General features: G+C 43.6%; 1 protein-coding gene across 5 annotated transcripts in view, besides 5 other annotated features; it reads right to left on the reverse strand.

The window, feature by feature from the left end:
- Positions 1-17,418, reverse strand: part of EFNB2 (ephrin B2) — a 45,918-nt gene extending 28,500 nt beyond the window's left edge. For 4 of the 5 annotated variants that reach the window (NM_001372056.1, NM_001372057.1, NM_004093.4 and 1 more), the window contains exon 1: positions 16,599-17,418. In NM_001372056.1, the coding sequence (NP_001358985.1) occupies positions 16,599-16,720 (122 nt within the window). In that variant the 5' untranslated portion in view covers positions 16,721-17,418. Of the gene's footprint in view, positions 1-576; positions 13,812-16,598 lie in introns of those variants that run through there. The other variant, XM_017020406.3, reaches the window with a different exon arrangement.
- Positions 8,361-9,014: an enhancer, noted in NCBI's record as "OCT4-NANOG hESC enhancer chr13:107178953-107179606 (GRCh37/hg19 assembly coordinates)". NCBI's record gives its function as "activates a minimal SCP1, AML or CMV promoter by ChIP-STARR-seq in naive and primed H9 embryonic stem cells {active_cell/tissue: H9 hESC(naive and primed)}" and the evidence as "EXISTENCE:reporter gene assay evidence [ECO:0000049][PMID:30033119]".
- Positions 14,857-14,916: a silencer, noted in NCBI's record as "silent region_5489". NCBI's record gives its function as "represses an Ori minimal core promoter by ATAC-STARR-seq in GM12878 lymphoblastoid cells {active_cell/tissue: GM12878}" and the evidence as "EXISTENCE:reporter gene assay evidence [ECO:0000049][PMID:35858748]".
- Positions 14,977-15,076: a silencer, noted in NCBI's record as "silent region_5490". NCBI's record gives its function as "represses an Ori minimal core promoter by ATAC-STARR-seq in GM12878 lymphoblastoid cells {active_cell/tissue: GM12878}" and the evidence as "EXISTENCE:reporter gene assay evidence [ECO:0000049][PMID:35858748]".
- Positions 17,206-17,865: a silencer, noted in NCBI's record as "silent region_5491". NCBI's record gives its function as "represses an Ori minimal core promoter by ATAC-STARR-seq in GM12878 lymphoblastoid cells {active_cell/tissue: GM12878}" and the evidence as "EXISTENCE:reporter gene assay evidence [ECO:0000049][PMID:35858748]".
- Positions 18,446-18,515: an enhancer, noted in NCBI's record as "active region_7982". NCBI's record gives its function as "activates an Ori minimal core promoter by ATAC-STARR-seq in GM12878 lymphoblastoid cells {active_cell/tissue: GM12878}" and the evidence as "EXISTENCE:reporter gene assay evidence [ECO:0000049][PMID:35858748]".

Genomic DNA, 23,286 nt, shown 5'->3' on the forward strand with positions numbered 1-23,286 from the left:
AGAATTGCTTGAATCCGAGAGGCGGAGGTTGCAGTGAGCCGAGATCGCACTACTGCACTCCAGCCTGGGTGACAGAGCAAGACTCCGTCTCCAAAAAATAAAAAAATTAGTCATTATGCAACACAATATTCTTTAATATTAATAGACTAGAACACAGCATAATTAATGAAGACAACAGAAAGTTTTAACCTACACTACGAGCACATGCTTGTTTAAAACACGGGCCTAATACACTGAAAACATAAACCAGCCACTTAGAGTTCAGAGGTCACCTCATGTGATTTTCATTCACAGACCAGACCATGGCACGTTGGGATGTCAAGTCTGGACTTTTCTGCTGACCTGTATTGCATTATCGGGTCTCACAGGGTGCCTGGGAAATGGACGGAGGCAGTGGTCGCCTGATCTATTTCTGCACTTTGCCCAGTGTAATAGGAGGATCCGTGGGAAGCCAGCAGTGGAGAAGTTTATGGAGAGCTGTGTAGTGAACCCGAAATTGCACTCCCTGCTTCCCCTCCCACCCACGGCCACTCCATTTTCCCTGCTTCTTTCTTCCTCTGACCATACTACACGCACCTTAGCACAAACATCTGATGCCTTCTTACAAGTTTTCTCACGGTTGGCCAAAGAGTGTAGATTAACCGAGAAGAAAACCCAAATCGCTGGGGGGCCACTTGATGCTGCTGTAGTCTCTGAAAATACATGCGAAATGTGTGACAATATACCTGGTGGCTCTCCTGAGAGACGCGACAGGTCCACGGAAGGAAACCATGGAAGGATATGCCAAAGTTTCCAAACAAGGATGAGTTAATATGTTAGTAACTGACTGCAAGAATATTTAGCTGACACAGAATAAAGAGATCAGAACAAAAAAGATACAAACAGGAACTACCAGTTTCTACACCCAGACAGATAACTAGGCCAGGTAAACCCCAAATCGAGACAGACACGATGACAGTGCTTGGAAATGTTGTGGGAAAGCTTCTATTTAAAAAGCATCAGATTCGATCCAGAGCCACTTCTACCTAATATTACACACGTAAAGATCTATTTAAATATTTAATATTTATGTGTAATTATGGCAGTTATCATGCACTTGAGAATCAGGGCCATGTTACTCATGTAACAGGACAAGGTGAGTCCTGACATGGATGCTGGTGCAAGTGTGAGCAGAATAAATGTGTGGGGGGGGAGGAGGCCCACACATAAAGCTCTTCTACCTCTAGAGCAAACTGCCAAGCAGGGCGAGATTCATAAGTCAATTCGCATTACTCTCCACAAAGAATTATTTTATTTTTCTTTTCATTTCAAAATTATACCATTAGTGTATATGATCATTGTAAGCAGATGGCTAATTTCAGTTGAAAATATACACATCAATAATATATGGCATGTTGTTCTGTTTATTTTGCTGACTGCACGGAGACAACCATAAACAAATGGTCACACACACCGCCTTTACCTGAGACCACTTTGGGCTACTGAATGGTGGACTTAGAATGATTTTTAGCTTTCTGTGTTTTCTTTGCAATAAATAGTCAATGCTTTTGTGATAAGATTAAAACATTATTTTTTTAATGTAGTTTCAGAAAAACTTTGTGCTATCTTTCATAATTGACTTTAAAAATAAGCATTTAAAATATTTAATGCCTACAGACTTAAACTTTTGATGCAATTCCCTAACAAGCAGATAAATAAAATTATCCTAGTTGAAGTTGTGGCCTATTTAATACATAAATCTCTGAGTCCACAGAAGCTGTAGTAACAAACTTGTTTACTCAAATAAGTGAAAAAAAGGGAATATATACAATTTATGCTTAATCATTGAACTGTACAAACATTTCAAAGATTCTAAATCCCAGCTTTACAAAGAGGCTCAGCCTAGCAGTTGCAAACCAAAAGTCATGTAATATCACAGGTTTATTCCCAAGCCAGTGTTCTGTATCAAGTATACTTCGAATTTACCCCATTTTGGAAAACATGTACTTTTTCCATAAAAGGCTTTAATTTTTAATTAAATGTCAAAGCCTACAGTGAAGAAGAGAAGTCGAGTACAAACTGGTTCATCTGCAATTCCGAATGCAGATGAGCAGTCTGCAGTTCTGCTGTAATTGGCTGGTGTTTCCAGTCACCTCCTGACAAAGGATGCACGCTGCTCTGGATAAGCCCAAACCCTTGACCCTTCACCCCACCATGTACTTTGGGCCTGCCACATCTATACGGAGCTAGGAGAGCATTAACACCAAAGACCAAGGCTCCTTTCCGAAGTGCTCTGTGCACTTGGGAATACGAATACTCCCAAAGAAGGACTCTGCATCATGAGCATGTGAATTTGATGGCACACTTCATAAACAGGCAGGATCTTCAGTCTTGCATGTCTTCCATTTAATGCTAGATTGCTGCAACAGCTTAATAAGGTATTCTCTGAATGCCCCAAACATAAGAGTTTTGTTATAAAATGAATAAATAAAGGCAGGGCCTACGAAAGACACAGGCAGTAATAAGAAATACTTGGAAAATGTTTTTCCTTTTTTGTGGATAGCACTTTACTGCCCCCTTTTGCACTTTAACATCAGAACAAGTTTCTACGCAGACTTATTCTGAAATCAGAGAAATACTGGGGTGTAGCGATAGGGTGTCAGGTTTATACGGAATTAGGTTACCAGATACTACTGCTTAGAGTAAAAAGTAATTACCTTAAAACTTCCAGCGAGGGCACCACTATCTTCTCAGCGGCTTTAAACCTCCAAGAAATAAGGTAGTGATTGGAGGCTTTGACATTTTCTGCTTTAATTTGGATGTATATGTGTGTTGGAACAATTGCGTGTTTTCACAGGTGCCCCTTCTTTCACACTTTCCTAAAACAAATATCGTCTGCAACATGAACCTGATTTATTCAAGGAAAAGAAAAGGGGTCTAAGAGCAGGCTATACAATTTGGAACCATTAAAGTGTTATAAATCTGAGAGCAAAGACTAGATGGGTGGGGGTGGGGGGTACAATTCACACCAATGACAAGCAAAATCTTTTCAAGAAAAGGAAAGATGAGAAGCACAGAAATTCAAACACACGGTGAACTGATCGGCACACAAACCAGTTTAGCAACTCTTCAAGGTGAGGTGTATTTGTGCCTCTTCATCACGCATACCTTTGAAAAAAAGTAATTAAACTACAGTCTAAAGGAAAGTTTTATTTGTCAAACTTGAATCTGCAATAACAGAGCTAGAGGGCCCCCAGTTCCTGGCCCAAAGACCTCAACTTGTATTTGATACAGCTGCGTGTGATGCTGTGTATCCTTTTATTTAAACACAATCCATTTTCCTCTGTCAGTCTACAATTAGCATATGAGTCAAAATAATATTAAATTTCACAGCCCACAGTGCTGCACAATTGAATGAAAACTGACTCCTTTTGATGTTAATCTTGTTTTTTATTTGTGATGTAATGCTCAAAATCCTGCTGGCTGAAGTCAATTTTATTTTAAAGTGCTCAAAGACAGTATTCTCATAGTTTAAGCTTTTTTTTTTTTTCTTCAGGAAAATAACAGAAGTATTTATTTAATTTTTATCTGTGCCATGATTTTCACTGTCATAAAAAATTCACAGAAGGGCATACCTATAAATGGCTGAGGCTAAAAAATCATCTACTTTGGTATTAATCATCTAGAAATCTAACTTTAAGTGTGTGATCCCCAAATATCATTGTTGTCTTTTCAAAAGTTGAGACTAGTTAAATCTCTGTCATGAAATTAAAGACAAAACTCAACCACCTATATCAAAATAAAAATGCAGGTCTTTATTTACCAAAAAAACAAAAAAAAAACCACACACGCACCCCAAAAAAATCAGCCTATGAATTTTGTAGCTAGATAAGAAAAAATGTGGAGATTTGAAGAGTAAGGCTGGGATGCTATGTACAGTGGGCAAGTGAGAAGGGGGGTGATCTCACAAATGCCAAATTTCATCCTGCTGGCTTGATCACGCCAGCTCCATTACTAAAAGGAGGATTTCATAACCTTCAGAGACAAGATGCACTGCAGGCTTCTTTCCCAACTGTAATTTGTGTGCACCTGTACGGTCTTGTTCCAAACCATGCTTTCAGCAAGAGTCTATAAAGGAAGGTGGAACTCCTGTTATTTATAGGTGAGGCACCAGAAAGAAAAATGGTTTACATAGAGAAAGAAATTCAAAGGGCATTTCCAGCTGGTTCTCTCTTGTTTTAGATATGAGTGTTCAAATCCATTTGCTCATTTACCTGAATGGGAAAAATCGCGGAGATGAAAGGCTCACGTAAGTCATACAGGGAATGCCTTGGCATTGAAAAAACTCAAAGAAATGGAATTCAGCTACAGTGACAAGCATAACAATACTACAATCTAGAGTTAGGGAGAGCATATCTTTTGTTTTAACCCTCTGCCCATCCCTTTCCTTCCTACCATCATATTTTTTTTTAACTACAAAGAATTTTGCCTATTGACAAAAATGATTCACCCATGTATTATTAAAATGAAACCTTTCCCTTTTGGTGGGGCCAACAGCCCAGCGAGGGGCTGCCATTCCTGCTCCTCCAGGATTGAGTCTGTCTCGTTTACCATGGGACCCTCCCTCTGACCCCCGACCAGGTACCTTGCATAAATAGGGTGCTCAATAGGTGGCTGTGTAATTAAAGAATGAACAAATTAATAAGGCATAAGATGAGATAAAACTCTCCAAGTTCTCTTTTGCTATAAGAGATTCACCTTGCCAATCAAGTATAATCAGCCCAGTAACACAGTTTACAAGGCTGTGTGCAATTGCTTTACAAGCAGGCTGCTTCACAGATACCTCCTTCCTGGGCTTCAGAGGAGGGTCAGGGCTAGGTCTGCTGTGGGCGTATGACAGGAGACATTTTCCTGCACGTCTCAGGGCTTTGCCACAGCCCGTGAAGTTAGGGAAGAAAAGGAAGAAAAACAAAGCAGGCTACAAAACAGCCAGGTCTGTACTGCTACCATCAAAAGGAAGCAAAATCAGACTGGGTTCCTGACTTCCATACGGATCGCCCCCACAACTGTGTACCTTAGGAAAATAGAAACAGCGCTCCACTGTAACTTTGAGGACGACCCATTTATTTCCTGCTTAGTCACCACATTCAGCCTGGAATTACCTTGACCAAAACCCAAAAACACCCTAGAAGTTAAATACTATAAGTGATTCAAACAAGCAGCTACTGAGAACTGCATGAAAGTAATTGGACAAGGAGGAGGAAGGAGGATGTGCTGGGGACTCTGAGTTCTAAAAGGCATGAAGATTTGGTTGTTGGAGACCTCTGGCCGGCGGCTGCATGGTCTCCAGGTAAGCAGATGCTAAGCATGGTGAAAATGCAAACCAAGGGGCACCACTTGGAGTCAAGAGAACCCCAGGACCACCAATATTCACCGCCTGGCTTCCTTCAACAAATGGCTCCAAACTTGCAGAACATCAAAAGCCAGATGGGCTGTACTGAATGAATCCACCGGCAAGAAGCCAGAATCCCAGTTTGCTGTAGAAATAAGCCTGGACTTGATTTGAGTCTTCTCAGCTCTGACAAGCTGGAAGCTGGCACGGATCCCAAAATCCAAAATAAAATGGCATTTAATTGTGACTAGACTCTAAAAAAGATGTCATACTATCTCCTTAGCTTGACACACACTCAGCATCTCACCAAATGGATCTCCCCTCAAAAATCTGACCTCCTTTTCTCCCAACAAGGAACAATCAAATGTTACAATTTTTAAAAGGAAAATGTTACCAAAGGAATACTACTCAATATATGCATGACTATTATGTATTGTAATAACTCTCCAGTCATCCTTTAAATGGGCTGATCATTATTCTGTTTCCATTGGGTATAACCTTATTATACCCAAGATTTGACATAACCTTATTATATCAAAGATTCAAAGGTTCCATTTAAAACTACACGACCATCATAAGAAAGTGACTATAAATCAAAATGGATAATGACAGAATTAAACCAATTATACCACAAACTTTTTGATCCATCATGTATGCACTGCTTTAAGCAAATGCATGCTTAATTTAGTTATATGATAAAGACTACTCCATGCAACAGCATAAGCAGGAGGCAGAAGATTAAAAGAGGGACCCTGGCCCCAGACTAGCTGGGTTTAAATCCACTTATTAGTTCAATATGACTTTGGCTAAGTTAATTAACCAATTTGGCCACAGTCTCCCCGTTGGTATTATGGATATATTAAAAGTGCTTCCCTCATATGGTTACCATGAAGGTTTCAGGAGTATTTGTCAGGCAGTTAGAATAGCAGCTGGCACATAGTGAGTGCTATACACAAAATGCTGTTAATAAAACAACGTCCACCAGTTAAGCAGTTTTCTAAATATCATGTAATATCAATGTAAAAAATGCAATACTGCCCATCCCTCCAGGTTGAATTAATGTATTCATTCAACAACCCAACTGCTCACAGTACTCTCTACTAGAATATACAAAATGAATTCAAAGAGCCTCCTCTCAGTCCACAGTTGCACAGCTGAATGAGAAAGTCCAGGGTTAAAAGTGTTATTAGAAAGCACCAAAAGCAGGAAAGCAGAGGAGAGAGAACTTAATTTAATAGGACAAAAGAATTACAAAGGGTGTTTCATGTAGCAGAAAGTCATAAGGAATGAGTAGAAGTTTGGCAGGTAAACAAAATAAATTAACATCAAGAAGTTTAAGGTGAAAGTATTATGCTATAGTCTTTATTAACAGAGTATTTTAATTTTTTCCTTGTATGCAAAGGCAAATTGAACCACGGCCAGGCACACAGTACATATTCAACTGACTTTTATTAATAACAACTGGTGTTTGATTGATTGGTTCATTGTGCCAATCACGGAGCTTAGCTCTTTAAATACATTAAATGTTGACCAAAATTTTGTTACTCTTTTATTCAGCACTATTATGTTATTGTCCCTATTATAGAGATGGGACAACTGAGAGACACTAAGGCTACTGCTCCTAAAGCTACCCAGCTAATAAATGGCTAAACTGGGATTGGACTCACATAGCCAAACTCTAAAGCATGTGCCCTTAACTAAACTACAGTGGCACTTGCCCTACTGTCTCTGCGAAACTGAATTGCCTCACCTATCCATGATCATACTCATTTTGAAAAGCAGTAGGTACTGATAATTCTCACGTGAACAGGTAGCTGAAATCAGTGGCTTAGCTGTTCCTGTGAGGGATCTGTCTTGAGCAATGGCCGGATGCAGAGAATCCTGGGACGTGTTCACAGGTGGACGTGATAGACACACGCTGCCCTTGGCTGAAATACTGTTTCTTTGGCTTGCTTACTATTTTCTTTATTTCAGCTGTCTACTGTGACTTTGCTTAGAGATGCCCACAGTATTTCAAGACTCAAGCTCCTCCTCCCTAGGCTGTTTCCGGACCCCTCCAGAGGCAAATGCCATTCCCTTCTTCTGTGTCCCCACCTTGCACCAAGCACCTAACTCTAAATGTGCTTGCTCCCACCTGGGCTTCTCTCTACAGGACTTAGACTTTAAATCTCGAGGGTACAGGTCACTCTGCCTTGTATTGTTAGAGCCGAGTAACAGGCCTAACACTTAATAGTTGCTTGCTGAATTAACAACAAATACTCCACCATCAATGGTTAGATCCCTGATGCTCCCCCAACAAGGCAAGGACTACAGATTTCTTCAGAGATCCCCAAACAGCTTTAATGTTGAGTTGTTTTCCCAGAAAGGTTTGTGTAGGGCGAGGGTTCTCAGCATGGCCCTGAGGCAGCAGTTGCCAGCGTCACCTGGGAGCTTGTTAAACATGTCCATCTTCAAGCCCCACCCCAGACCTCAGGAATCAGGAACTCTGGGGGTGGGGCCCAGAAACCCCTGTTTTCTCAAGCCCTGCAGGGGATTCTGGTGCCCTAAAGTTCAAGAGCCAGGGACCTCTGAGCAGTCCCATCGTCTCAGGTCTCATCCATGTCTAGTAGCAGAAGGATGACAGTTAAAACAGGGTAAACTGCCATCAGCACAAATTCGGGTTGTCTGTCCATTCCACTAATACTTACTGGATGCCAATGCTGGATAGAAGTAGGGACTGATGAAATGAAGAAGGTGTGTCCCTGACTTTTAGGACAGGTAGAGTGGTGAAGGCTTGCATATCAATCATGACGTACCGTGTATATGGTTCTTTCTAAGTACATCTAAGTACAAAGTGCTGTGGGATTATGAAGAAAAGACTTAAAGAGATCACTCTTGATCTAGGTCATAAAGAGAGAGAACATGTCTAGGAGAAATCATGAACTTTACTGGACAGTCCATTATAATAATGATCCATTTTCCCATAGCAAGGGGGGGATTCAAGGCCTACGAGAACTTGCTTTTTTTTTAAATCTAAAATGTACCTCGAATATAGTTCTGGTAGATAAGTAAAAGATGACACTTTCTAACTTCTTCTGCAGCTAGGTACATTCTCAGCTGGTCTGGAACAGGATTTGCCTTGCCCCACTCACTCATGAGACAATTCTGATTCTGGGCAAATGTTTTAGGGCCATGGTAAGCCCAGGTAAAGGTGTGGAAAGAGCAAGGATTATAATTCATCAGCTATAACCCTAGGCTGGAAGAGATCAATTGAGAAACACTTCTGGCTCTGAAGGTCGGAAATTCTTTGCTATGCACACAGGTTAGGTGCCCCGCAGGGAATGTGGATTGGGAACAACAGTAGAATAGGCAGACAATAAGGAGCTGCACCCACCCCACTTAAACACACATCCACCCCTGCCAAAAATGCTAAAGCATCATTGGCTTTCCTCAAAGACAAACATGTTGACTCTAGTGGTTTCAAAAGTCTGGGTAGCACTCATAATTATTCTGGGGTGATACGAGAGTGGTGTACACAGAAAACATGGATAAGGCCGCAGTGGCAATGGGGACGTGGGTAGCAAGTATGGGAAGGCAGATACAAAAACTGTAATTAAAATTGGATGCAACAGGATTTAAATTGAGAAAATAAATTAGTAATATAAATAAATAATTATAATAATACATAAAAACAACAATAAAATAAAAATAATAATATAAATAAATTAAGTATGGCAGAACAGCAGTGGTTCATTCACAGCGCTCTAAATGTATGCCCACCACAGAGTAGTTTGAACGCTTACTTACTCGTGCTTTAGAGAATGAAAAGAGCACACTATTAATACTCCACTACTGTCCACTTTTTCTTCCTATCTTGTTTAGAGAATTACTAAGGGCAGAAACAACTTGTTTAATGGAGCTTTCCCTTGCTATGTTTTCTTATTTGAAATCAGCAAGTATGTGCTTACCAGCCACAGAATGCTTTGGACTAGAATTACATATTTGAATTTATACATGAAAGGAAAATATGTTAATAATCTAGAGCCACTGCTGATTGTCTGCTGGAATAACAGAAATAGGTTCGCCTGGCATTCAATGTGCATGGAAAGCATTTTATAACTGGTCACCTACTCTTTTCACTGGTTTGCTAGATCCTCCTTCCTTATCTCTAATACTTCTGAAATATCTTCTCACAGGTAGACTACAAAGCTAAATGTTGGATGAAGGTTAGTAAACAAACGGCAGGGCTTTCTTGAATGATTGCTTTAATCACTTTAACCCTGTTTCTGATAGAAAGCTGGAGGCCAGGGCAATTCAGCTTTTTCTTTTGTCATTTGCCTGCCATAAATATGCACCAGTCTGCGTTTGAAAAGCTGAAGGAGGCAGCAAGCTTGCTGGACATTTATCATGTTCTGTTCCCTGTTAACAAGCAAATACTTTAGTTGAATGGGCCATTAGCAATCACTGTCAAGTGTAGAATGCAAGGTGCTTGGATGTGAGCAGCCTGTAAATCAGGGGGTAGCCTCTCTCTGATGAAGCTAGACAAATGAAATGGATCTGTTAATACAGACTGCTGCATTAAGTTAGAAAAAGAAGGTAAAGTAACAGGCACTGGATATGGCCAGCCTATATGCAATACTTTAAAAATGTTTTGAGTCTATGAAAGCTACATAGTAATGGCTACAGTAATTCCCATAGAAACGAGAAAAACAGTCAACAAGGGCAATGTATCTACAGCCCCAAACAGATGCTCAAGTCAGTTGAGAATTTGGAACAAAATCAGTGAAATGGGTCTAAATTATAATATTGCTCATTTAATGACCATTTTTGTCAGACACAGAATCCAAGAGTCTAGAAGGGCCCTATGCTGCTCTTTAAAAAAAAAAAACAACAACAACAACAAAAAAACAGCACTGAATTCCCCTTTGTAAAACACACCAAGATGCACTCCATCAAGAAAGACACAGGGTGTTTGCAGCCTTTGGCATTTTCAATGTCTTGAGAGTTCAGACTCTTCCAAAGTGTGGAGACTTTCCTGTAATGCCAAATAGGGGGCAATCGAGCAAGTATTTCCTTCTGGCTTGACCCGATTGCGGATGTCACTCTGCATGGAACCCAATCGTGGTTTCAATGGCTTATTTTGTTTAATGGCTGAAATGGAAAGTATGGAAGGCAAAAACAAAAGTCTAGCTTACTTACAAGGTTGTTCAGGAGAGAGGGCGGGAAGACTCAACAGCACAGAGATTTTTCTGTTTTTGACTTTAAGGCTGGGCAGCACTAACATTTTTATAATCCTGTAATTTACACCACCTCTAACAGCCTGCCCCATTCAACTCAAAGTTTAAGACTCACATTTACGAGTAAAATTACATCTAGGTAGAGCCCACTGCTTTTGGCATATTGGATTACTACTCATTTGAATTAAAACTAAATTCCTCCCTCCCCTTTTAAAAATTGTATTTTATCTTTTTTTCCAGGGTGGGAAAGACAAAACTCACAGAAGAGCTCTGTGGCTGAGGGAGAGGGACAATGTGTCCTGTTTACCTTTGCTTCTCCCATGCAGCGGGAGAGGGAGCTGGGTCTGAAAAGATGGCTGAAATCAAAAGGTCTCTGTTTTCTTTTCAGATAACCCCAGCCCTACCTATCCCCTCTGGTCTCTGTTCCTTCCCAGCATGTCCCTGCCTGAAGCCCAAATAGATTAAGGCAACGACCGCGAAGTGCAGTTAATCCTACAGAACGGCTGCTGCTGTTAGGCCAGGAGTTAAAAAGGAAAATCTCCCAGGCCCTAACAACTGCAGTGATCTGAAGTTTTAATCAGCCCCAATCTCAATCTATAAAAAAGGCAGTCAATGAAATCTACCTTTGCCATATTATCCACCACCAATGAGCAAGAACTGAGCAGCTTTTCTTTACTGCCTCAGCCATCCCAGACCACAAGTAGAGCTTTCATACTTCCTAATCCCAGTTTCCAAGTCTGTGTGGTTCTCACATAATGCCCAACAGCCTGGAGGCAAGGGCCTTCGTCCCGCGCCCTTTTCAGAGACGTGTCATTTCTAACATCAAGCTAATCTATATGTTGCCATGGCTTCACCCTTTATCTGCCTTTACATCTTATGAACTGCATGGATTTACCACATTATTTTTATCTGAAAGACAGAAAATGGTGGTTTTATTGCCATACAATCAGATTACTGCTGCTAGTTTCTCTATGCCTTTTTACTATACTTCAATCAAAAGGGATCAGTTTCTTTATACTCTGCCCTTGATTTACATCACATCTGTAAAGACCTAGTCTGAGTTGTAATCCCCTTATTAACTATGACCAGGGTTGATTTGCCTAAAAATAAAAGCAAATTGTGTCAGACCCTTTCACTTTGTTTTTGATTCGGAACTACAAAATGGATTACTAAAGAAATCTTCAGAGTTCACACGGCTAGTATCGTGCTGAATTTAAAATGAGAATTAAACAAGTTAAACAGGGGAGGCATGTCAACGGTTTACATCTTCCATCATGGGAGAAGGGCTGAATTGCTTATGTCTTTGTATTCTTTGGCTTTATAGAGACAATGAAGCCACAGGAGTTTTTCCAAGCTGTTCGGAACATGTCCCATTTGCTATCCTTCCTTCTTTGCTGTTCTTATATTCCTCCCCCAGCCTCCTTCTAATTCCCCCCTTAAAAAGAAGGGGGGAGCTGTTCCCTGAAAGAGCTAATTCCTGACTAGAAGCTTATAGTTCTATGGGTTCTGCATATTTTAATCAAAATATTTTAAACAGTTGAGCACTCCTCTTTAAGGCTCTACTCCGCTACACAAAGGGTGAGCTCATAAGCAAATCTATGTAGATGTATATTAAGTGACCTGAAAAACAGGTTCTTTATGTCAGCAGCAAAGGCAGGCAGAGATTAGGCTGATAGGAGGACCAGTTTAATCACCTTCCTTAGAAGAGCACTTCTATTTGTCTAATTTGCAATTAAGTATTTTAAGAATGAAGTTCTCATAAAACGTTAAAGAAATATCTTTCCTAAAAATTTTTTTATTAGGGTCTACAATCTGTATTTCCTTTTCCCCTGCCACTCCCATTCCTATGACGCATTACTGCAGTCACGCTGGGATCTCGAATAGTTTCCCATTAGGTGAACGCACTCTAAAACGTCGCCCGAAGTTTGGTGTCATACTGAAGCTCTCGGGAGCTACCTGGAAGATTTCAGAGGAAGGAAAGACAGCAAGGATTTAGTTGCTCCAGTTGCAATGTCCATCTGAAGGCAATTATCTCACTGATCCACCAACCGAAGGATGCACCTCAGTAAGTTTACAGACAAGAGGTTTTAATATAAATCCACCAATTGTTCTTCAGCTGACTCTGTCTGGAGGAACCATTCAAACACATAGTTTTTAGCAAGCTGGTCTCCAGGCCCATGGCGAATTCACCTGTCCACACACTTTAGCTTAAGTCAGAAGCCTCTGGAAATGTTGGAGTCATCTGCATGTCTTTGCGTCGGCAGAACCAGCGTCAACAGCTTATGCTTTGTAAAAGATTTAGAACCAGGTGCTTAGCAAATCATCTTAACCTCCAGCTCCTGTTTCTGGGGCTTGAAGCTGTAACTGTTGAGGTTAAGATGTGCAGTCCCTAGACACATGATTCTCAAATAAATTCTCATCTGAAAAGAAGGCTACCAAGCATGTTGTGAGGTATCGCTTTAGCTTAGTCTTTGTGCTCTGCCTGGCTCAGTTGTCCTGCAGAACAACGACAGTCCATTACCTACAGTTTATCATCCTGACAAAATGTGAGGAATGTGGATGTGAAAGCACTAACAATTCCACCCCTGGTGCTTTGAGCTTTTTTCTCTCTATATTAAAACCGACAAGATTAACCCAAACGCAAACTGTGGAGCATAGTTCAAGGGGCTATTCAATCAGTGCTGAATGTGCATTTGTTTACCTACAAAAATAAGAATTTCAGACACAATGGAAGGCAGGCTGGCTTATATATGTTATTGAATGGACTGTTTAAACAGCACTATCCATTGTAGTTTATTTTATCAATCTCTGACAGGTCTGTATTTATTCAGAGCCTGATTGTGGTGAAGCCCATGTATTATACGTTATCTGGATATCATCCAGCCATTCTTTTGTATCAAGTCAATTAGTATCAGGAATCCAGTATTATATAGGGAAAAAATTACATGGGAAAAGCAAAATGCTATGTTAACTAACTAGTATGTGATGCACAGGGAATGGTAACCCCAGACATAAGGCATTAGTACTCGAAATTTTCAAAGTCAGTGTAATGCATTGCAGAACACCATACCAATACAGATTTGCTCACATTAAAGTAAAATTAATTTTTTTTTAAAAAAGAGCCCACTACTTTACTTAGGCCAAAATCTCCCTCTTGGAAGAAAATGTTCTACTGAAGTGTTAAGTTAAAAACGGAAGCTAGGCATTACTGTTCTCTGCTGAATTAAAAAAAAAACAAAAAAAAAACCAAAACTTTAAACAACCAAAATGGCTACAACGGACCCAACTCTACCAGAACGTATCAAAGCAATGTGAATAACCTAACAGGGCAGCTACTGTTTCAGCACGCAGGACATCTTTCCATTATTACATACAGTCAGGGACGGGAGAGCCGACAATGTGATTAAAGTAGTTACGGAGACGCTGAATTTACAAAGGGTTTTCTGGACCCTGTATCCAAACAGCTGCTGCATGCTCCCTGTGTCGACCACCTGCTAAAAAAGCTGACCTCTGAATGAAACAAATCTAATTACTGATGGCGGCTTCATTACAAATGAATTGTTCCACAGTTCATAGGAACTGATGTGAAACTTCAATGCATTTGATTACCTTCCTGCCACATCATATTTACCGATTCAAACTTTCCTCTGGAAATAAATATAAAACTTCCCCAAGGAAAGCGACCCCCTGTCATCAGGGGGTTGTATGCATTCTCAAAAACTTAGAGAGGACTCTTTCCTATGGCTCCTACAGGAAGAAATCTTTCTGATCTCTGGAGCTAGCATTCAGCTGCAAGGGAGACCTTTTCCAGGCACACATTATCCAGTCATCCAGGCAGGCCGTTATCAGGAGAATTTTAAAAGAAATGCTGCTGTGGAGGACAAGACAGCAGCAGCAACCTCAACCGCGCAAACGGCAGGCTTCCAGAAACGCAGGGCCCTCGCAGGTCTGGACATAGCTGGAAAGACAGACTCATCTTCATCATCAGAATGGGGGGGGGGAGTGGTGAGTACCTGTCACCTCCCCCCAGGACCCCCCATCTCGACACATTACAAAAAGAAGTTATTAACGTCTAAACCTTAGGTTGAAATAACTATTGTTCTACTTTTCTTTTTCTCCCAACTAGGTATTTCTAATTCTCCTACCGGATACACACAAACTAATAGTTAATATAGCGCAAAGATAAAGATACACACACCGAACTAAACGCTGAAGAGGCTAACGGAATTGCTTTCAACTAGATTTAAACAGAAATATTAAATCCTCATAAGAAAAAAAAAAACAGCCTCAAAGAGAACCGGTCAGTGAAAGTGCAGAGTGGCTGGAGCAGGCGGCCTGGGGGAGGGGCGAGGCCTGGCGCTGCGCGATTCCGCATGGAAGAGTGACCTCTGGAGGCACCGGGCGGGCAGCGGCGCCGCGGGCTCCCCGCGACCGCCTCGCCCGCCCGCCCGCCTCTCCCGGACTCCGGGACCCGCTGCTGCGCGAGGTCCTAGCCCGGCTCCTTCCGGCACCACCTGGCGCCTCCCGAGCCGGCATCGATGCAAAGATGCCGCCGCCAGTACTTCATCAGCAAATACAACAATTTACATTAAAAATATAATCCATGCAAGAGCAGACTACATGGAAGGAGGCAGAGCTAAGTAACTTCTCCGTATGAGCGGTGTTGAAAGTGCCTTCTAGCATCATACAAACATTTGTTTAAACCGATTTGTAACCGACGTTTTCGCCCTTTTCATGAAGGGATTCTTGGTTAACATGTTAGTGAATTTGAAATTTGACACTTTTAAGAGAATGGACACACTCCTTTAAGACGTGATTTCTAAATCAATCCCCCATTTCTTTTCTCCTAAAACCAGGCCCAACTTGCTCAACTTCAATTAGGCCATTGATTTTGCTTCTGATCTCAAACGTTTTCTCCAGAAACCAGCTAATGTCTGCATACTTCTTCTCCAAGTTTCCCGAGACTACAATTCCAAGATTCTGTAAAATATGTTTTGGCTGTGATTCGAAATAAGGGGATACACAGTACTGAATACCCAGATGACTACGAGTTATGACCACACAGATTTAGGGATGGATGGGATTTTCTAAATTCTGAATGCACTCTGGTGGCCCAAACTGAAAGTTACTCTCCACAAGGCCTGGCTCGCTCCCGGCTGTAGAGTCCGGTAAGAGCAAATCTGATCCTAAGGATCCCATTCCTACCAGGGTCCCGAGGGAGAAGGCTTCAGGAGCAGTGTCGACTGGGCAGGGCCCTAAGCTTTTATAGGAAGTGCATTACAATCAGGTCGGCCATCGAGACCGCATACTCCGGGGCTACCGGCTTATGAACGAAGCGGGAGGCCGAGGTGCGGCGGGCCCTCAGGGAGAAGCCTAAGGCCCGTCTCCCCGGCGCGGAGGAAAGGGCTCGACGCCCGAGTTCTCCTGCGAAGCAGGCGAGCTCCCCGCGCACCCTCGGGCTGGCGGCGCGGTGCCAAGGCGCCCCGGCTCCAGGGCTCTGCGGGCAGCGTAGCGACTCCAGGCTCCCCTCTCCAGAACGCGCTTCGCTGCCAGCGTCCTGCCACCCCGGTCGCCCGCCCGCGGGCCCCGGACCACGCCGCCCGCGCTCCCCGCGAATGCAGCATCTCCGCCTCTCTCCAGAGCCCACCAGTCCCCGCGTGCCGGCCAGCCTAGATTGTGGCCATGTCCTTCGTCCTCGAAAACAGGAGAGGGTCAGGTATCGCCATCGGACACCTTCCCGGACTTGACACCCGAGCCGATAGTAGCTTTTAGCGCCTGGGAGCGTTCGGGGGAGGAAAGGCGGAGAGACCGTCCGTTCCAGCGGGGCTCGGGTTGGAAAGCCGAGCGAGGAGTCTCCACCTAGTGAAATGGGGCGGGGGTTGGGGGTGGGGGACGGGGAACCGAGGTTCCAGAAACAGGCTCCGAGGCCCCGCGGACTGACCCCTCCTCCCGCCCGGACGGCGCGGCGGACCCCGGGGCGGGGACATAGGGGGATCGCGGACGCCACTTACTTGGAGTTCGAGGAATTCCAATAGATAGGCTCTAAAACTATCGATTTGGAAATCGCAGTTCTGCATAAAACCATCAAAACACCCCAGCAGTACTTCCACACGGAGTCCCTTCTCACAGCCATGGCGAAGCCACTCCCAGCTCCGCGCACTCCGGGCCAAGAAGGGACTGACGGGACGCAGGCTGGGACCCCCAATCCTCCGGGGCAGACTGGCGGGGAAGACGGCGTGCGCCCGCAGGCAGCTCCGAGGCGCGCTGCGCAGCTCCAGCGGTCGCCGGGCCAGGTGCGCTCGCTCTCCGGGGCCCTCAGGGCGCGGGGCGGGAGCGCACGCGCGGGGCGCGGCGGCGCGGCGGACTCGGGGTTCCGGGGCGCCGCGCCGGACGCAGCTCGGACGGCCGACTCCCGTGCGGCTCCAGGGTGCCGGGCCGGCCGCGGCTGGCGGGTGGGCGCGGGGCGGGTGCGGGCTGGGACACAAAGACCCGGAGCGGAGACGACCGGCGCGGGCGGCGGGCGCTGCGCCCCGAGCGGGGCCGCCTGTGACTATAGATCCAGTGCAGCGGGCAGCGGCCCGAGCGCGCGGGCGCCGCGTCGGCGCGGTTCCATGTCCCGGAGCACGGAGCGGAGTAGGGCGCCTCCGGGCGCGCAGGAGCCTTCTCAGTCCGCGCGGCTCCCGGCCCCCAGGGCAGGAAAGAGGGAGCTCGGTCCCCGCCGCGGGCTCCGGACGCGCGCGGGCCTTTGTGTGCGGGGAGGGCGCCGGGACCCGCTGCGTGCGCAGCTCCTCGCTCCGGCCGGCGCCGCGGTCCCCGCCGAGGAGAGTCAGCGCGGCCGCCGCGCTGTCAGAGCGCTATAAACGCGGGGCCCCGCCCCGCCGCGCGAAGCCCATTGGCCCGCGGCTCCGCGGCCGCGCGCTGGTTGGACGGCCGGTCCGTCCGTCCGCCATCCCCTCCCGACATTGGGTGCCGCGAGGCGGGGCTCGGGCTGACAGGTGAGCCCCGCCCCTGGCTCCCGCGGGCGGCGGGAGCGGAGCAGAAGCCGGGCAGGAGAAGCGCTCAGCGCGTGCACAGGGCGCCCCCGGGGCGGCGAGAGGCCTTCTGGGCGCGGTGCAGACGTGGAAACAGCGACGGCCGAGTAGCGGGCCACCTGTCTCCGCGCCCGGGGGCGCCTTCCCCCTCGGCGGAATCAGAGGGCGCGGCTTTCCCTCGAGCAGTGCGGAAGGCAGCAGGCTCCGCTCGGCGTCCCTTCTCCGCAGATGCGGCGCTGCCCCGCGTGCAAGACTTGCACTCCGCGCGCACCCTTAGAGCTCCCGGCTTCTGCGCGCTTCTCCCGACGCCTCTCGGCGAGGGCTTCTCACTTGATTTTGGTACCAATCGCCTACGGCTCAGTTTCAGTCAGTGGGGCCGGGAATTGCAAGACGATTCCTGCGACGCGGCGCCGGAATTTGCAGCTCTAATCAGGGCCTGAGCATCGTCGCCTCCCGCCTTCTCTGCGGGCGTCTCCCTTCCCTCCTGGCCCCCCGGGAAGGTGGCGCCCCTGGAGCTTTCCCCGCGTGTCGCCGGCACAGGCACGACGCGGGGACCGTCTCACTAGCCTCTAGGAGACACGCGCGCTTCCCAAAGTGACCAGAGATTTAGAGGGTGTGAGATGGAAAAGTCAAGGCATGTGCTTCTCACTCGGCGTCTGCAAGACCCCAGAGCAGAGCTGGCAGGAACTCCTCGCTACTTTCCCGGTCGAGCGCCGGTGCTGACGCTCGTCCGTGACTTCCACGGAGCCACAGCGCCCACTAGCGGCCAGCTTTGCTTCTCCGCATCTCGAGCGCTCTGCGGTCCACCGACCCGGATCCAGCATACTGCAGCATCTAATCAAGTCACAGTTCCAAGGAAAATCTTTTTATATGTCCAACAGTAGGAAGAACACGGTAGAAATAAGGCACAGTGCAAATGTACGATTCAGTATGAAAAATTAAAATATACTGTATGCCCACGTTTTTTTTCAATTTAATGCCGTCCACCCCAGGATTTATGTTTCAAACACAAACTGGGCAGTAATTCTACAAATTATGTATTTTTAAAACAAAGTATCCACTACGCTAAATTTAAAAATGCATATGGTAAAACACCTTGTTTTCTTTCACTCTTCTTTGTAACAATTTCTGAAGATTTTTATGGTACGTTGCTTTTAAGTATCCGTTTTTGAAACATTAGTCTAACTTAACGTATACATCTCAGTTGGAGTGGTAAAAGCTTGTGAAGACTAGTTTAAGATAGAAAACACATTAAGGCATACAAAGTACTGAATACACTTACTCTTCCAAACAGATCTTTGAGAGCAGAAAAGTTTCATAATTTATTTTCATTTTAAATAAGCCTTCAAACTAAATATATATATACACACATATACGTATACACACATATACACATATTTATACATATATACACATATGTACGTATATATATACACACACATATATACGTATATATATACACATATATATATGCACACACACACATATATATATAAAATTTATTTTAAAAAGGCTCCACCACGGTATGACGATTTGAACAGCGGATTCCCAGGAAGCACCAACAACCCAGGAAGCAGCAGGCACTATGACTCCTACCTTGACAAGGGTGAGAAAGGGCTAGTTTTTAGTATGCTAAAATACCATTTAAGGAACTCATTGAAATTGAATATAAAGTTAGCTTAATGATCTTTTAAAAGAACACTGGGTACTCAGTACCTTTTGACAAACTTATATTGTGAAATTTAAATTGTGACCTCTTAGCTCACTACATCCTCCTCTCCAAGTAAACTAGAGGAAATACAGGAAATTTGCATTGTCTGAAAATAAGCCAGCTTCCAAAAATAACATTTTCAGTAAATCAGAAAGTCTCACATCCAAAGCGTTTTACCTTGGGACAAATGTAAATATACACTTTAAAATCGCTTCCTTTTCAAAACAAAGTGCGTATTTGACTGAAAAGGAATCCTACACACACACAAAACATCTATAGTGTGAGAGAATATACAGCTTAGTTTCAGTCAACAGAGATTCAATGTAGACAATGTGAAAAGCATCAGCAGTACTCACTTCGAAGATGTCAACATTCTACTATTTAATGGTAATTTTGGTAATTAAAAGCATCACCTCAAAGCCATTTGTATCTACTATTGTATAACATGCCAGCAAAAAAGTAGGTCATACTGGCATGCACAAGGCAAAGTAGAATTTCCAAAGCATGCCAAACCAAGAACCAATCACATCAGTGTCGTATCTCTTGGTATTTGGACTTCATTTTACAATTATTGGGAAAACTTGGTTAATTTTTTTCTTTACCACACTTTGAATCATGATCAATGTATTTCGAGAAATCTATACTTTTAGCAGATGTATTTAAACCCTCATCAAATGAGATTTTATTTCAGCAGAGGAAGTTACTTCACTGTGTTCTAGACTTAAGTTTTGAAGGCCGGGCGCAGTGGCTCACGCCTGTAATCCCATCACTTTGGGAGGCCGAGGTGGGCGGGTCACGAGGTAAGGAGATTGAGACCATCCTCACTAACACGGTGAAACCCAGTCTCTACTAAAAATATAAAAAATTATCCGGGCGTGTGTCGGGCGCCTGTAGTCCCAGCTACTCGGGAGGCTGAGACAGGAGAATGGCGTGAACCCAGGTGGCGGAGCTTGCAGTGAAGCCGAGTTCACGCCACTGCACTCCAGCCTGGGCGGCAGAGTGAGACTCAGTCTCAAAAAAAAAAAAAAAAAAAAAAGTTCTGATAAGTCAAATAAATAAGGATTTGGGAATTTCAAAGGATACCATAGTTATAAAAGTTAACACAAAGCTGAATAAATGTAAAATGAGATGACAAATAGATAATCGCAGCTTTAAAAAAGTGCAATTCCCCACCTCCAACAAAAAAAATGCAAGTAATTATGTTCCTACCCCTTTGAATTCCTAGGCATGTTTTGGGCTTTAGAACTTATGGTTGTTTCTTATATATTCCTTATATAGTATTCCATCATTTCTAGGACATATTTCAAAAGATATATGTAACAGAACTTCTACAAAAACAAAAGGTTATCTAAATAACATTACAGAAAAATAAATTTGGTATGTGTTGACTAAGTGTTGTCCAAGCCATACATTCTCTATGTAGCTTGTAAGCCTCTCGCAAAATCATACCCTTTGTTTCCTGGCATTGTATGCTGTTTATTTCATACAAGTCACTGATGCTTTCAGCACTCTCTAGCAAATCACATTTTCCCCCATTTATCCTTGAGGGAAAGATCTGACAGGAGAAAATAAAACCCTTTCTTAAAATCAACTTTGCTAAACACCCTTCTCCCATCTGCTTCTGAAATTCAGATTGTTAAAACACTGAAACATTTTATATTAGAGTCTATTTGTTTGGCAGGAAAAATACTACATTAGGCTCTTGGTCAAAAGAGAATCATTCTTCTCTCTGGGAAGTTTAGAGGAAACTCATACCTTATAGACTGTCACATATTCCTTATGGAAGAAAATTACCGTATTTTCCACTAGTATCCATTTTAATCTGAAGCTCAACCTCTCATTTCGTTGACAGCATTATTAATGTAAAAACAGCACACATGGAAATACGAATGGCTCCAACAAGCATGCACACCTGGCATGAAACTTCATCTCTTTATTTGCAAACCAAGTGTGGAGGACCAAACTCCACTCATCATTCCAAGCTGGATTAAGAGGTGTGATGGATACAAAGGAGCAGATAATGGCTAGCTAGCTGTGCGCTCTCTTGATTGCATGATTAATTCTAATATTTAACCTCTATCAACAGGATGTTTTTTCAGACTGATTTGATACAGACATACATGAAAATTTAAAAGTTAAATACTACTCTTAATAAACATAAGGAAAACTTCTGACAACAATCGTAACGGATCTCCTCTTTTGGGTCCATAAAATCATTTTTTGCATCCTCTTTATACTACTTAACAGCTTCAACAGCACTTAAAACCAGCTGCAATAATGTATTATTTTGTTAACTCCTTATTCTACTTGTCACTTCTTTAATCCAAAGTGAAAACCTAGAAAATGAGAATCATCCAAATGGTAAACAAACCCATTTTATTCTAACCCTAATAAGCCTAGGTTTGGTAATCAACAGTTGCAGCAATCACAAAACATACACTATTAAAAACATACGCCTTTGGCCGGGCGCGGTGGCTCACGCCTGTAATCCCAACACTTTGGGAGGTCGAGGTGAGCGGATCACGAGGTCAGGAGATTGAGACCATCCTGGTCAACATAGTGAAACCCCGTTTCTACTAAAAATATAAAAATTAGCCAGGCGTGCTGGTGGGTGCCTGTAATCCCAGCTACTCAGGAGGCTGAGGCAGGAGAATCGCTTGAACCTGGGAGGTGGGAGGTTGCACAGAGCCAAGATTACACCATTGCACTCCAGGCTGGCGACAGAGCAAGAGACCATTGGCGGGGGTGGGGGGGGGGGGGCAAAAAAACAAAACAAATACACTTTTATAGCATTGATACAAAAACAATGAGAGAAACAGCTGGATCACTGGAGTTACTATTCTCTAATGTACTGGCTCTTTAGAGCTAGAGCAAAAAATAAAAATATAAAAATAGAACTGTCCCAACATCCTCTGATCAACCACTGTAGGCTCAGAAAAAGATAAATCATCAAGTATGACTTCCAATTAAGTTTTAATTTCTAAACCCAATGACGACTTAGGTATAAAAGCACTTAACTTGTGGAACACTTACATAGATGTAAAAGCAACCACTCTGATTTGTATTACTTTGTAATACCAGAAGGAAGTTCCAAAGAAATACTTAATGGAGTAAGAAGCTAGTTATTTCTCTCACACACGCAAATCCCTTAATTAGGTCTTCTGTATCCCCCACTTCCACTGTTTGCCAGCACTAAATCAGTTACTCTAGAACCAATACTGGATGGATGGATGGATGGATGGATGGATGGATGGATGGATTAGGTAATACAATCCACTCATCTTAAGCATATCTACAAAGTAAACAGTGTAGTTTATCAGCAAATGCAAATCTTCTAGATTACTGCACCACATTTTCCATCATCACGGACAACTGAATGTTAAAAGCCAAAAACAACGCAAGAGTAAACAAAAAACGTTACAGACAACAAAGATAGTGAAAGAATCAAGACCACTGTTAAATGGCAATTCAACAGATCAAAAAAGTAGGGTCTATTGCTTGGGCTTCCACACTCATTCTAGACTTCCAGGTTGAGGCTTTTACCTTCAGCAGTCTCTTGAGGTCCTCTGATTAGTAACACTAGTACTTGTTCACAAGGCTCTCCTGGAGGGGGAGGAGAGCCTCAAAAATTAGGATAGCCTGTCTTCAGTATTTCTCATGGCCATTAATACAAAACAGATGAATGGTTTTGCGTGTAAAGATGCAGAAAATTTAGACAACTGAAAAGAGACGCTCTAATGGATAGAAATAGCTTTGGAGAAATGTCAGTGAAGTGACAGGCTCCTCATAAAATGAGGCATTAGAAATGATACATAGAGTTCAACAAGTCAGGATTCTACGCTTACTATACTTAGAAAATTGAAAAAATACAAACCACTGAAAATTCTTAAGATACTGCTAAATCCAGGACAGGTGGTGATACAAAAAAAAAAAAAAAAAAGCTATGGACACATACTA

Source organism: Homo sapiens, chromosome 13 (assembly GCF_000001405.40).
Source record: "Homo sapiens chromosome 13, GRCh38.p14 Primary Assembly".
In the NCBI taxonomy this organism is placed as follows: domain Eukaryota; kingdom Metazoa; phylum Chordata; class Mammalia; order Primates; family Hominidae; genus Homo; species Homo sapiens.